Source organism: Homo sapiens, chromosome 16, assembly GCF_000001405.40.
Source record: "Homo sapiens chromosome 16, GRCh38.p14 Primary Assembly".
NCBI lineage: Eukaryota > Metazoa > Chordata > Mammalia > Primates > Hominidae > Homo > Homo sapiens.
The window spans coordinates 87,578,001-87,590,089 of record NC_000016.10 but is presented as its reverse complement, the minus strand read 5'-3'; the positions used below and the strand labels follow the sequence as shown (position 1 = coordinate 87,590,089).

At 52.6% G+C, this 12,089-nt stretch overlaps 1 long non-coding RNA gene across 1 annotated transcript; it reads right to left on the bottom strand.

Annotated features, from left to right (window-relative positions):
* Window positions 1–5,092: 5,092 nt before the first annotated feature.
* Window positions 5,093–8,106, bottom strand: LOC124903749 (uncharacterized). The gene is made up of 2 exons (XR_007065171.1): window positions 7,932–8,106; window positions 5,093–5,771 (listed from the first exon to the last, which is right to left on the bottom strand). It is a non-coding gene; the product is annotated as an uncharacterized LOC124903749 (long non-coding RNA).
* Between the last annotated feature and the right edge of the window lie 3,983 nt (window positions 8,107–12,089).

Sequence of the window (12,089 nt, the reverse complement as noted above, 5' to 3'; positions counted from 1 at the left end):
GAGTTGGGTAAAGAGAACATGAACGTATTACAAGGGAAGGTGGCACTCATGCCACAAAGTAGAGACCAGGACACCAGTCGCGTAGACAGGCCCTACGCTCCTAGGCAGCCCCGGTGCTGGAGCTGGGATTGCCCCACTGCCTCACAATTGTAAATAACGCCATTGCAGGGACCGTGTGCACATGGAGGCTGCTGAGGAGGGTGGTGGGGACAAGCGGTCTAGAAGCTGGCTGTCTGAATTAAACTCCTAATGCCACCTCATTCTGGCTGGGCAGCCGGAGGCTCCTTAGGGCCCCAGAGCCTCAGTTTCTTCCCTGTCAGAGCAGCCGCCTCCCAGGGTTGCTGAGAAGAGGAAACGGGAGCCTCCAGCATGGCCAGGGTGCCGTGACATCTGCGGTGAGCACGGAGTCACTCTTCCAGATGTTTCCGTGTGTGTGTGTGTGTGTGTGTGTGTGTGTGTGTGTGTCTGCTTCCTTCCGATAAATCCCAAAATGTGGAACAGCAGAGCACGTGCGCTTTGCAGACTCTCTGTCTGCTGCCCAGTGGTTCTGTGTGTGCCAGGCTGCCCCACCTGCCCACATGCATCAGAGTCCCCTGGACTCTTGTTCGAATGAAGGTTCTGGTCCAGGAAGTCTGTGAGGGGCCCAAGACTCTGCATTTCTATGGTGGTGCTGATGCTGCTGGTCTGGGGCCCACACTCTGAATGGCCAGGGCCCCAGGTATACACGTCTCCCCCTACCACTCCTCTTGCAGGAAGCTGGAGGCAGATGACAGCCCAGGGCAGTGTGTTCACCGCCAGGCTTGACATGTGGTCATCAGGCTGGAGAAGCCCATTCTTGGGACGCTGCCTGCGTCTGGGCAGGGCTCCTGCCTTCTCCGTGGTACCTGAATCTCTGCCATCAGCCACCAGTCCAGCCAGGCTGTTGATGCAGCCGATTCCTGCCAAGCTGATCGGCCCCAGGGAGGATCAGAGCCACCCGCTCTCCGTATGGAGACCAGGCAGTGAAAGGCCTGGCCGGAGGCACTGGAAAAGGCCGGAGCCCTTCGCAGTGGGGCTGGAAAGCTCTCCTGCAGCTTCACAGCCTGTGGGCCTCCGTTCCTGAGGCCGCCTGGCGAGCAGGCCCAGAGAGGATCGCGGACCAAGGGAGACCCCGTCTGGACGGCAGCGACCATGCAGCGCTGCCGCCACCTTCTCTCCATGGAAATTCCCGTGTGTGCGATTCCACCCGCAAAAGGTTGCAAATGCCCGTGCACTCCCCGGGCTTGGGGGGAGTAATAACCCAACTTCTTATCCAGATGGATGTTGTGGGGGAGACTGCAAAAGATTTAGTTTGTTTTACTTTTCTTTTCTTTTTTCTTTTTCTTTTTTTTTTTTTGAGATGGAGTCTCGCTCTGTTGCCCAGGCTGGAGTGCAGTGGCGCAATCTCAGCTCACTGCAAGCTCCACCTCCCGGGTTCACGCCATTCTCCTGCCTCAGCCTCCTGAGTAGCTGGGACTACAGGCGCCCGCCACCATGCCTGGCTAATTTTTTTGTATTTTTAGTAGAGACGGGGTTTCACTGTGTTAGCCAGGATGGTCTCGATCTCCTGACCTCGTGATCTGCCTGCCTCAGCCTCCCAAAGTGTTGGGATTACAGGCGTGAGCCACTGCGCTCGGCCTAGTTTGTTTTACTTTTCAAATGAACCATATGAAATTGTCAGCATTTGGCTGTTTTACATCTCTTAAAGGGCAATTTCACATGGTCCGATGTGAACCCTCCCAGCAAACCTTCAGGGTAGTTTTTGTAACTACCGCATGCACAGGACGCGTGACGCTGGCAGGCCTGTGCGCAATTGTCGTCACACAATTGCAGATGGCCTTTGCCATACACTCCATGGAACCTAAGATGCCACCAAGTGTAAGGGTGCTCTGGGCCCCTTTGCCTGGTGACAGCTGAGGCAAGCCGCTGACGAAGCTCTGCAGATTCACAGTTTGCTCCCCCCAATGTTTTAGGGCTGCTGTGCATGCCCAGAGCCACATACCTGTGAGGACTGATTAGCTGGCCCAGGAGAAAGGGTCCCCCACCCACCCATGAGCATCTGCCTCCTGCAGTCAGGGGCAGTTCTTACCACCAAGGCCTTGAAGGGCAGTCCTAGTGGAGAGCCGTGGATGGGGGTGGGAAGAGGGAGGCCAGACTGCAAGCTCTCAGCGAGGAGAGGGTTCACCCAGGGGCTGGGGCTGAGCTGAGGCTGAGCCCAAGAGATAAGGGCGCCAGTGCTAGCTGATGGAGGCCTGACCCACCTGGCCCTGCCCTTCCAGAAGGAGGCTCTCCGGGAGAGGAGGCTGGCTTCCCAAGCCAGGCCAAAAATGGCCACAGGAGCAAAAGAAAGAGACCCACTGGGGGCTGCGTTGTGGTCGGCGTGCCGGGTGGGTGAGGGCTTCCCCACACATGGGAAGGTCTGAAGCTCGTGCTAGCACCAGGTCTAGTGGGGACACCTGGGCCTTCTTATCAGCTTGCTGGGGTCTGGGGCAGAGAGCAAGGGGCAGTGAACACATATGTGTTCACACGTGTGTCACTGAGGGAGTGTGACAGGCCCCGTGAGCCCTGGCACACCAGCATCCCCATCAACATGGGGGTGTTCAACCCAGGCCTCTCCCTACAGCATCCTCACAGCAGTGAGCCTGTCAAAATACACTCACGATTTCCAGCTATGAACAGTTCAGCATGTACCAGACACCCTTGTACCACCCCCCAGATTTTACAAATGTTCATCTTTTCCATATTTGCTTTGGAGTGTTCTTTAAGGAGATGAAAGTTAGAGTTGCAGCTCTCCCCCACCCGCCCTGCGCCCCTTCCCCCGCCACAGAGGTCACTCCTCCCTGAAGCTTTGCGTGCCTCTCACGCAGTTTTGCTACCATTGCTGCTATGCCAACACCCGGAAACCACGCGGCACACGGGATTCGCGTAAAGGGCATCACGCTGTCAAATCCTTTAACAACTGGCTTTTTTCCACTCGATATCACGTTTTGGTTTGTTTTCTTTTGTTTTTGTTTTGAGACAGACTCTTGCTTTGTAACCCGGGCTGGAGTGCAGCTGCATGATCTCAGTCACTACAACCTCTGCCTCCCAGGTTCAAGCGATTCTCCTGCCTCAGCCTCCTGAGTAGCTGGAATTACAGGCACCTGCCACCATGCCCGGCTAGTTTTTGTATTTTTAGCAGAGACAGGGTTTCACCACGTTGGTCAGGCTGGTCTCAAACTCCTGACCTCAAGCCATCCACCCGCCTCAGCCTCCCAAAGTGCTGGGATTATAGGTGTGAGCCACCATGCCCGGCTGATGTAACATTTTTGGTTGATCAACATTGACTCAGGTAGCTCTCATTGTTCACCCGAAATGTGGCACGGGACGCTCCTCCACCCGCAGCTACGCCACAGCTCACGCCCCATCCTCCTTCCTCCTGGCAGACAGGTTGTTTCCACTTTTCCCTTACGGTCCTTGTTTTTACAGGAAGAGCACAAGACTGCTCAGCCAGGAAGTGGCAAGACTGGAACACGCACACAAGGCTGCAGACCCCAAATTTCCCATTCTTGCCACGTCATAGGCCAAAGTTTACACAGCAGCTCACAGAGCCTGGGTGAAACTACAAATCCCTGGCTGAGCGCACCCCTGGTGCTGGTTTTAAAGATAGGTCCGCAAATTCCTGGGCACTCTGCTTCTCAAGACGGAGAGCTTAATTCTCCCGCCCCTGAGTGCGGGCTGGACTTAGTCATTCATCTCTAACAAGAGATTACGGCAGACATGGAGCAATGTCGCTTCCGAGATGAGGTTACAAAAAGACCGTGGCCTCTGCCTTAGTGTCTCAGCCTCTCTCGCTCTCTGTGGGAAGCTGCTGTCGCGCTGTGATCTACCCTACGGAGTCTCAGGTAGCAAGAAACAGACGCTTCCCGCAAGCAGCCAGCAAGGGCCTGAGGCTGGCCGACGACATGGAAGTGGGTCCCGCAGCCCCATTTGGAGCCCCGTGACCCCGGCCCCGGCCACTGCCTTGACTCTGACCACGTGAGATCCCTGGGCCAGCACTACTCAGCCAGGCAGCCCCACATTCCCAACCCACAAAAACCATGAGATGATAAACGTGTGTTGTCTTAAGCCCCCGAGGCTGGGGGTATGTTAGGCATCAGCCAATAACAGATGCACGCGTTCAGCACAAGGAGGCCAGGCGAGGGGACACAGATGAACTTGGGCCCAGCAGGTTCTACCACCCACAGCCTCTAGACGTCTCTTCCCCATCCTGTCCTGGCCTCAGAGGGCATGTGACAACACACACCCTGGGCCTGAGGCCACAGCCACCAACGTGGACCCCGTCACAGTGTGCTGAGCTGTGCCCGTGCCAGGACCGACCCCCAGCATGTCCATGTGCACAGGGATGTGGGGATAGTGAGCGCCTCCCTCTCGCAATTTCCCTCTCTCTCCCGGGCCAGCTGCCCTCTCTCCCCCATCCTCTGCCAATTCCCTCGCTGCCTTGACTCTAGAATCCGCACAGAGCCAGCCCCGGTTTGCAGGAAGCCAGCCCTCAGTGGAGCTTTCTTCCTGAGTCTAACTTGCTGACACCAAACCCAGCAGCCTTCGCCACAGGAGGGGTTTGGGACTCCCCGCCAGTGCTGAGGGGCTTGGGAGTCAGACAGACCTGGGTTTCCCATCCCTGCCCACCCCACCCTTCTCCCTGAGCCTCAGGCCTCACTCCCCTCATCTGTGAAGTGGGATCAGTCATCTACCTACCTCCAGATGACAGAGATCCCAGGAGATGAAGCAGCCAGTGCCTAGGGCGTGCCAGATCTCAGGTCACGGTGCAGGCGAGCTCGGGGATTGTCCAGGAAGCTCCCTCTTGCACCCCCTCCTGCTCTCAGGTCATGGTCCAGGCAAGCTCGGGGACTGGCCAGGAGGCTCCCTCTTGCACCCATCCCCTCGCTTTCTGTACAAGGCCTTGCTGCTGCCTTGGGTACCACGCTGAGCAGCGCCTCTGTCCCCTGGGCCCTAGTGATGCTGATCCCTCAGCCTGGAATCCCCCCTGCTCCCTGCTAACTCTATTTAGGCAAAATTCACATAACAAAATGTGTCATTTTAACCATTTTATTTTACTTATTTGGTTTTATTTTTTAATTTTAGAGATGACATCTCACTCTGTTGCCCAGGCTGGAGTGCAGTGTGATCACAGCTCACTGCAGCTCCCGACCTCCTGGGCTCGAGTGATCCTCCTGCCTTGGCCTCCCGAGTAGCTGGGACTACAGGCACGCGCCACCATGCCCTGCCTATTTTAACCTGAACGGTACAGTGGCATTTGGTACGTTCACAGAGTTGTTGCAACCAGCAGCACCGTCCATCTGGCACCAGAGCATTCCCATCACCCCAAAACATCACCCCAAAACACCCCGTCCCCGTTAGCAGCCACTCCCCCTTCCCCTCCTGACCCCTGCCCCAAGCCCCTGGCGATCACTCATGAACTTTATGTGTTTATGGATTTGCCTATTGCAGACATTTCACATAAATGGAATCACAATATGTTATCATATTTTATGATTGGATCACAGTTTCCAGGGCATGTTGCGGTGTGACTCAGAGCTTCTTTCCTTTCCGTGGCTGAATAACACCCCACTGTATACACACTGTGTTTATCTCTTCAACCATAACAGACCCTTGGTAGTGTCCAGCCTCTGGCTGTTGTGGGTAATGCTGCTGTGAACGCGGGTGCGCAGGTATCTGTCTGAGCGCCTGTTTGAATTCTCTTGAGTAGACACCTAGAAGCAGAATTGCTAGGTCATAGGATGATTCTCCATATACTTTTGAGGAACCACCCCCCACACCCAATTCTTACCCATCCCTCAGAGCTCACTGCTGTCTGGCCTTTGTCCACCTCCTTCACATCCCCCCCCCCACACTTTCCCATTCTACTTGGCTTTGTGGAACCTTCTGGATGAAGGGGGTAAGCCTCCTGCAGGCAGGGATGTGTGCCTCGCTCCCCTGAACCCTGGCCTGGCACGTGAACGCCTGCACTGAGTATCTGCTCATGTGTGAATAGAGGACCACGTGTGGCCAACAGGTGTGCAGAGATGTCGCCAGAGAGCCCATGAATCTAGGAGCGAGGGTCACGCCAGAGTCCGGGGCACACGGTAGGCTGGAAGTGCTGGGATTTTTCGCCCCAGGAGCAGCCCTCGTCCAACAACAAACGGGAGTCAAGGTTTGCGGTTTGTCCTGCGACTGCCCCCTGCCCCCACACTGCAGCAGGACAGAGCCCCAGCTGCTTACTGCCACATCTCGGCTGGCTCCTTCCCTTCCCCACTGCGCCCCCACTCTCCCACTGTGCTTCTTGGATCCCCTCCCGACAGACTCTTTCTACTCAGATCCCAGCTCCCAGGGAACTGGCTCCCCAGGGAATCCAATCTAAGACAGCAGGGCCAGCCTCTGACCCAAGAGAGGAACCGCTTTGTCATTAGTAAGAATGAATAATAATTTAGAAGGAGAATGAATAACAAGTAGGAGACCTTCCCAAGGCCACTGCGCCAGGCACGGCGAGATTTCTCCTTCTCTAGGGCTGCACGTGGCCCTGGTCCAGATTTTAGGTGACTCACATGTGCGTGTGTGTGTGTGTGTGTCATAGTGTGTCTCTGTATGCATGTGTGTGTATACATGTGTAATGTACATATGTATAGATATATGTATGCTTGCATGTGTATATACGTATATATATGTGAATTGTCCCTGTGTGCATGGCTGTGTATGTATGTGTATGTGTGTACTGGTACGTGTGTACATGCATGAATGTGTGTGTGTGTATGTATTAGTGTATGTGTGCATGTGTGAGTTTGCACACCTAATAATATCAAGTGCTTATCATGAGCCCAATATTGTTCTAAGAGTTTTATTTTTTTAACCCACTTAATTCTCACAACACTATAATTCGGGTCCTACAGTCATCCCCATTTTACAGATGAGGGAACTGAGACTCTAGAGGCAAAATGGTTTTCCTATGACCACACAGGTGGTGGCCAGTGGGGCTGGGATGCAAAGCCCTCTGGCTGGCTCTGCACCCACCTCCTCCTGAGCCTCCAAGGCAGATCCTGGAGATGTGAGCAGAGCTGTTTCCCCTGAGCCACACGGCAGAGGGACGCTCTGGCCCATCTTTCCCTTGGTTCTAGCTCCTTCCCATGCTAGGAAGGCAAGAAGGCCAGCGTGTATCTAGCGCGTGTGCTCATGGCACAGTCAGGAGGAAGCACTCCAGGAGACAGGCAGCTCCTGCAAGCTCACGGGGCGTGGGTGGTGTGGGAGACCTGGAGGCTCCAGAACGCCTGCCCGCAGCCTGGCCTCGGAGGGGAGGGGGAACCCCATATGTCCTCCAGGCTGCAGAGGCCTTTCCGTTTCAGCTAAGTGCTGGGAGCTTTGCTCCAAAATCACCCGAGGTCTGCGTAAGCTGCACGCCTTCTTCGACGGCCGATGGCTGGCAGGGCCGGCTCTCTGGTCTGAGGCAGCCCTGCCCCGGCTCTCGGGCTCGGCCGCTCTCCAGGGCACCTCCCGCCTGGCCTTGGCTCTTTCAGGGGAGCTGCCTTTGTTCTCCCGAACCTCCAGCTTTAGTGGGAAAGAAAAGGGCCAGGAGGGACCCACAGGCCGGGAGGAGCCTCCCACACGTATATTTAGCTGGAGCTGGGCTGCCGCCCGCCTGGCTCCAGGCCTCATCTGCCTGCTGGAGTTGGATCATGGGACCCAAGAGGAGCCGCCTGCGGTGACGCTGCTGACAGACAGACAGGCTGGCCGAGGCCAGAAATGGTATGTTTTGCAGCTTTTCCTGGACCAGAGGTCCCAGGACAGCGCTGGGTTTTTGTTGTTGGAAAATCAACTTGTTTTTTTCCTCCATTTGATTTTTGAAAATTTTGAAGATTAATGAGAAATATAAATCATCATACCGGAAAGCTGAGATCGCCTCTGCTCCACTATACAGCAAGGAAATGAACAGCTTCGCGCACACACAGCAAGGATGACTCTCACAGCACAAGTCTGTGTGCAAGAGGCCAGACCCTGGGAGGCTCTGTTTATGATGACTCAGAGGCCACAACCTTGGAAACTAGCCTGGGGCATTTGGAGCTGGGCTGGCCACCCTTGGGAGAGGAGGGAGGGCCTGGAAGGAGGTCTAGAATGTTCTATGCCTTAATCGGGTGCTGATTATACATGGGAATTGTGAAAATTCATCAAGCTGGACGTTCGCAATTTGTGCACTTTTCCGTATGTATGGGCAAATAAAATGTTTACTAATATTTTGCTAAAATTTTCCCCCTTTCTATTCTCAAGGAATCGTCACTATTAATATTTTGGGGTGTTTGCTTATACACATTTTTCCATGCATATACACATTTTTTTTCACAGAAAAATAAAATCATCTTCTACCTCCCGTGTGGTCACAGGAGGCAATAAATGCTGAAGCCACGCTGTGGGGGTCCCACGCTGAACTCTCCAGCCAAGCCACTCACCTCCTGAGTTGTTGTTGTGTGGGCGACAGTAGAACCTCTGTAGGTGTGAGCTCTTTAACTTGCTTTTTTCACTGAATCTAATGCAAACATCTTTCCAAACCAAGAACTAACAATTGTGCCTTACATACAAGGGAACCGTAAACACAGGGCAATGTCCAACTGGATCCTCTAAAATGTTTTTTATCCATCTTCAAGATGTAAATGTTTTGATTGTGGATGGAAAAGTCACATGAGTGCTTATAAAATATAATTCATTGATTAAATTAGAAATGCATTTTGAAATCAAAAGTGAGATAAGACAGGGTGTGGGGTAGAGACTAGCCAGTTGTTCATCAAATTGCTTCCTCTTACTCCTGACAGTACAGGTTGTCTCCATTTCCCAGCCTCTGTTGCAGTCAGGACAGTCACATGACAGAGTCTGTCCAATGAGATTGGGACATAATGGTGGGCACCGCTTCCATGCCTGGCCTTGGAAACTCCTCACACCCAGCCTTCCCCATCTTCTGGCTGGATGCCAGGAATCCTCCCCAGACACTGGAGCCTGGGTGATGGTGAATCCACCACAATGAAAGGGCCTGGGCCCTGAGTCACCATGTGGAAGACCACCCACACACACCCAACTAGAACTTGTGTGAAGAAGAAACCCATGGCGCCACCTCTCGTAAATGTCTGGGTTGACGGTGCAACAGTTGACTCACCCTCATGCAATGCATTAATTTAGAAGACATGCTTCTTCCACTTCACATTCGGGTCCCTTTACTCACATCCATCACCTGTGTCATCAACATTGGTGCCGTTATCTTCAAGAACCACTTCTTGAGTCTTCTAATTCTGTTTTCCAAAGCACATCATCTTCTTTTCACTTCTGAGTTCTTTGAGATTTTAATCCACTCGGGGCACTGTTGAGGGCCATTTTATCAAGACACAACTCTCTGCCAGGCACGGGGCTCACACCTGTAATCCCAGCACTTTGGGAGGCCAAGGTGGGCAGATCACTTGCGCTCGGGATTTTGAGACCAGCCTGGCCAACATGGTGAAACCTCGTTTCTATAAAAAATATAAAAATTAGCTGGGCGTGGTGGCATGCACCTGTAGTCCCAGCTACATGGGAGGCTGAGGTGGGAGGATCTCTTGAACCCGGGAGGCAGAGGTTGCAGTGAGCCAAGATCACACCACTGCACTCCAGCCTGGGCGACAGAGCGAGACTTTGTCTCTGGAAAAAAAAAAATATGACAGGTTTTATTCCGCTCCTGCCGCACGCGCCCCCCCCCCAACACCCCTGCTTTTTGACTTGTAGGCTTGAGTTCTGCTCCTCACGACCACTGTTTCTTTTTTTTCTTTTCTTTCTTTTTTTCCTTCCTTTCTTTCTTTTTTTTTTTTTTTCGAAGACAGGGTCTCACTCTGTCACCCAGGCTGGAGGCAGTGGTGCAATCATGGTTCCCTGTAGCCTCGACCTCCTGGGCTCAAGTGATTCTCTTGCCTCAGTCTCCTGAGTAGCTATGACTACCGCCGCCCACCACCATGCCCAGCTAATTTAATTTTTACTTTTTGTAAAGAGAAGGTCTTGCTATGTTGCTCAGGCTGGTCTCAAACACCAGGGATCAAGTGATCTTCCTGCCTAAGCCTCCCAAAGTGCTGGGATTACAGGGGTGAGCCACCGTGCCTGGCCCAGTGTTTCTTTTTAAAGACATGTTTAAAAGGCTTATTCATGTCAACATCTATAGTGGGAGGTCCTCCCCCAGGAAGAGCTGCTGAATCTGTGGGGTGGTTTTTTGTTGTTGTTTTGTTTTGTTTTTGCCTCCTTTGTAATTGCTTCCCTCCGTTTCTCCTCTCAGAATTTCTTAGTAGAGCCTCATTTGAGGTTGTTTCAGAACAAGGTGTCTTCCCCAAACAATACTTGGTTGTGCAAAGTGAAATCATTAAAAGACCAACCTGTAAAGACTCAATTGTTAGATGACTTTCTTTTTAAACTGATATAGTTTGTTTTTATGATTATTTCATTTTTATTTTGGAGATTTGCAAGCCCATAAAAGGGTAGGGTCAGTAGTATAATAAACACCCATGGCTGGGCGCGGTGGCTCACGCCTGTAATTCCAGCACTTTGGGAGGCTGAGGTGGGCAGATCGCCTGAGGTCGGGAGTTCGAGACCAGCCCGGCCAAGAGGGTGAAACCCCGTCTCTACTAAAAATTCAAAAATTAGCCCAGTGTGGTGGTGCGCACCCGTAATCCCAGCAACTCGGGAGGCTGACGCAGGAGAATCACTTGAACCCGGGAGGTGGAGGTTGCAGTGAGCTGAGATGGTGCCATTGTACTCCAGCCTGGGCAACAGAGCAAGACTCCATCTCAAAAAACAAAAACAAAAACAAAAAACAAACAAACAAAAACACCCATGTACCCACCACTGAACTTCCGTAATGATCAATACATGGCCAGTCCTTTTTTTTTTTTTCTGAGACGACGTTTCCCTCTTGTCGCCCAGGCTGGGGTGCGATGGCACCATCTCAGCTCACTGCAAACACCGCCTTCCGGGTTCAAGCCGTTCTCCTCCATGGCCAGTCTTGTGTTCTTGCGTTAGCTCCACCACATCTGCCACACCCGCTGTTGAAAGGGATCTGTTTTGGGAGTGGAGGGAAGCCTTGCCTTATATTTAACGCTATCTCATATACTTACTCAAGATCATTGAAAAAACAAAAACCATTTACTATGGAAAATGACAAACACGCATCTATCTAAGAAGGCAGAGTGTAATGAACCCCGTGTGCTCACCTAGGGTGCCACCTGGGGTGCCCACCTGGGCCTCATTACCAGCTTCCACCTGGGAGCCATCTTCTCTCCTCCATACTCCCATTCTACCTCCCCGAGATGGTTCTGAAGCGAATGCCAAACTAGCTGTCCTCTATCCAGGCAGTGTTCGGGCGGCGTCCAGGCAGTGTCCCCACTGACAGCTGTCTCTGTGTATATGTTATTGAAAGATATCGGGGGGAGGGGGGAGGGAAAGCATTAGGAGATATACCTAATGTAAATGACGAGTTAATGGGTGCAGCACACCAACATGGCACATGTATACATATGTAACAAACCTGCACGTTGTGCACAAGTACCCTAGAACTTAAAGTATAATTAGAAAAAAAAAAGAAAGATATCAACGGGACAGCCCTGGAGATATCCAGGGTTTAGGTCTCAGCTGTGTGGCCTTGGGCAGCGACTTCCCATCTCTGAGCATTCTCCCTACAGGGACTTCCTCACAGGGCTTCTGAGAGCTCTGTGTAAAAACATCTGTGAAATGTGGAACACAAGAAATTCTGATTAGTGTGATTCATGTACTTATTTATTTTATTTTTTTGAGACGGAGTCTCACTCCGTCACCCAGGCTGGAGTGCAGTGGCACCATCTCGGCTCACTGCAACCTCCACCTCCCGGGTTCAAGTGTTTCTCCTGCCTCAGCCTCCTGAGTAGCTGGGATCACAGGCGCGTGCCACCATGCTTGGCTAATTTAAAAAATATTTTTGGTAGAGATGTGGTTTCACCATGTTGGCCAGGCTGGTCTCAAACTCCTGACCTTAAGTGATCCACCTGTCTTGGCCTCCCAAAGTGGTG